The following is a 3578-nucleotide window of genomic DNA, read 5'->3' as shown; positions in this document are numbered from 1 at the left end:
GGAAAAGAAATCAAAGCACCTGGACCAAGCCCCTCTGACAGTGTAATAATCTCAGGGAGAAAACATGCTGTCATTCTAAAGTGGGAGCTACATCTTCAGGGCCAAAACTTAAAGCTGGGAGTGAGTGTTTCCCTTTCTCCTTTTGAAGGGGACTACAGTTGCCACCCATGCTAATGATTAAGATCTTGTTCTTGTTCTTATCAATAACTGCTGTCTTATAATACACTATGAATCCTGGCTTTTATTTAAAGCTAATTCCTCCACGTGGACCATGCTTGAGAGCTCTGCCCTTAAAATGGCTATCCCTTTCTCTGCACAATCAACTTTTCTCTCCCAATGCAGCATACACAAATGCTGTAACGGCTCCACTTAAAAACAAAATAAAAAACCAAAACCAAAACCAAAACAAAAAAACACTTCTGTTTTTTGACAGTAGATTTGCCTTCAGCTGCCACCACATTTCTCTGTTCCTCTTTATGACAAAAAACTTCAAAGAGCAATGTTTCTGCCTATATCCATTTTCGTATTTAACATTCTCTATTCTACTACAGTCCTCATCATTCCATTAAAACTGCTCTTTCAAGTCACCAGTGACCTCTGTGTTATCAAACATTGTGGTCAATTTTCAGTCCTCATTTAATTTGGCTCTTCACTGTCACTTGACACTATTGATCTTTGCCTCCTTTTTGAAACAACTTTGCACTGATCCTGCAGGGCATCACCATCTTTTTTATTCTTACTTTAATTGCTGCTTCTTATCAGTCTCCTATTTTGATTTTTCTCCTATTCCCGGTCCTTAATGCTAGAGAACCATAGGGCTCAATTGTCTTTTTTTTTTTTATTATTATTATACTTTAAGTTTTAGGGTACATGTGCACATTGTGCAGGTTAGTTACATATGTATACATGTGCCATGCTGGTGTGTTGCACCCACTAACTCGTCATCTAGCATTAGGTATATCTCCCAATGCTATCCCTCCCCCCTCCCCCCACCCCACAACAGTCCCCAGTGTGTGATATTCCCCTTCCTGTGTCCATGTGATCTCATTGTTCAATTCCCACCTATGAGTGAGAATATGCGGTGTTTGGTTTTTTGTTCTTGCGATAGTTTACTGAGAATGATGATTTCCAATTTCATCCATGTCCCTACAAAGGACATGAACTCATCATTTTTTATGGCTGCATAGTATTCCATGGTGTATATGTGCCACATTTTCTTAATCCAGTCTATCATTGTTGGACATTTGGGTTGGTTCCAAGTCTTTGCTATCGTGAATAATGCCGCAATAAACATACGTGTGCATGTGTCTTTATAGCAGCATGATTTATAGTCCTTTGGGTATATACCCAGTAATGGGATGGCTGGGTCAAATGGTATTTCCAGTTCTAGATCCCTGAGGAATTGCCACACTGACTTCCACAATGGTTGAACTAGTTTACAGTCCCACCAACAGTGTAAAAGTGTTCCTATTTCTCCACATCCTCTCCAGCACCTGTTGTTTCCTGACTTTTTAATGATTGCCATTCTAACTGGTGTGAGATGGTATCTCATTGTGGTTTTGATTTGCATTTCTCTGATGGCCAGTGATGGTGAGCATTTTTTCATGTGTTTTTTGGCTGCATAAATGTCTTCTTTTGAGAAGTGTCTGTTCATGTCCTTCGCCCACTTTTTGATGCAGTTGTTTTGTTTTTTTCTTGTAAATTTGTTTGAGTTCATTGTAGTTTCTGGATATTAGCCCTTTGTCAGATGAGTAGGTTGCGAAAATTTTCTCCCATTTTGTAGGTTGCCTGTTCACTCTGATGGTAGTTTCTTTTGCTGTGCAGAAGCTCTTTAGTTTAATTAGATCCCATTTGTCAATTTTGGCTTTTGTTGCCATTGCTTTTGGTGTTTTAGACATGAAGTCCTTGCCTGTGCCTATGTCCTGAATGGTAATGCCTAGGTTTTCTTCTAGGGTTTTTATGGTGTTAGGTCTAATGTTTAAGTCTTTAATCCATCTTGAATTGATTTTTGTGTAAGGTGTAAGGAAGGGATCCAGTTTCAGCTTTCTACATATGGCTAGCCAGTTTTCCCAGCACCATTTATTAAATAGGGAATCCTTTCCCCATTGCTTGTTTTTCTCAGGTTTGTCAAAGATCAGATAGTTGTAGATATGCGGTGTTATTTCTGAGGGCTCTGTTCTGTTCCATTGATCTATATCTCTGTTTTGGTACCAGTACCATGCTGTTTTGGTTACTGTAGCCTTGTAGTATAGTTTGAAGTCAGGTAGTGTGATGCCTCCAGCTTTGTTCTTTTGGCTTAGGATTGACTTGGCAATGCGGGCTCCTTTTTGATTCCATATGAACTTGAAAGTAGTTTTTTCCAATTCTGTGAAGAAAGGCATTGGTAGCTTGATGGGGATGGCATTGAATCTGTAAATTACCTTGGGCAGTATGGCCATTTTCACAATATTGATTCTTCCTACCCATGAGCATGGAATGTTCTTCCATATGTTTGTATCCTCTTTTATTTCGTTGAGCAGTGGTTTGTAGTTCTCCTTGAAGAGGTCCTTCACATCCCTTGTAAGTTGGATTCCTAGGTATTTTATTCTCTTTGAAGCAATTGTGAATGGGAGTTCACTCATGATTTGGCTCTCTGTTTGTCTGTTGTTGGTGTATAAAGAATGCTTGTGATTTTTGTACATTGATTTTGTATCCTGAGACTTTGCTGAAGTTGCTTATCAGCTTAAGGAGATTTTTGGCTGAGACGATGGGGTTTTCTAGATATACAATCATGTCGTCTGCAAACAGGGACAATTTGACTTCCTCTTTTCCTAATTGAATACCCTTTATTTCCTTCTCCTGACTAATTGCCCTTGCCAGAACTTCCAACACTATGTTGAATAGGAGTGGTGAGAGAGGGCATCCCTGTCTTGTGCCAGTTTTCAAAGGGAATGCTTCCAGTTTTTGCCCATTCAGTATGATATTGGCTTTGGGTTTGTCATAGATAGCTCTTATTATTTTCAGATACGTCCCATCAATACCTAATTTATCGAGAGTTTTTAGCATGAAGGGTTGTTGAATTTTGTCAAAGGCTTTTTCTGCATCTATTGAGATAATCATGTGGTTTTTGTCTTTGGCTCTGTTTATATGCTGGATTACATTTATTGATTTGCATATATTGAACCAGCCTTGCATCCCAGGGATGAAGCCCACTTGATCATGGTGGATAAGCTTTTTGATGTGATTGTCTTTTATTTTCTAGGCTTACTCCCAGGGTGATCTCATTCTTTCGCAATGGTTTTGTCAGAGACATTCGAACGAGAGTGACTCCATCTTGGATAGAGGTTGGGTAAAATAAGGCTGAGACCTACTGGGCTGCATCCCCAGGAAGTTAGGCATTCTTAGTCACAGGATGAGATAGGTCAGGAGGATTGGTATCACAAGATACAGGTTGTAAAGCCCCTGCTGATAAAACAGGATGTGGTAAAGAAGCCGGCCAAAATCCACCAAAACCAAGATGGTGACGAAAGTGATGTCTGGTCATCCTCACTGCTCATTCTATGCTAATTATAAATCATTAGCATGCTAAAAGACATTCC

General features: G+C 39.6%; 1 annotated feature.

Annotated features, from left to right (window-relative positions):
* Nucleotides 298–407: an enhancer, noted in NCBI's record as "active region_26287". NCBI's record gives its function as "activates an Ori minimal core promoter by ATAC-STARR-seq in GM12878 lymphoblastoid cells {active_cell/tissue: GM12878}" and the evidence as "EXISTENCE:reporter gene assay evidence [ECO:0000049][PMID:35858748]".

This window comes from Homo sapiens, chromosome 7 (genome assembly GCF_000001405.40).
Source record: "Homo sapiens chromosome 7, GRCh38.p14 Primary Assembly".
Lineage (NCBI taxonomy): Eukaryota > Metazoa > Chordata > Mammalia > Primates > Hominidae > Homo > Homo sapiens.
This window is presented reverse-complemented; position numbering and strand designations above follow the sequence as displayed.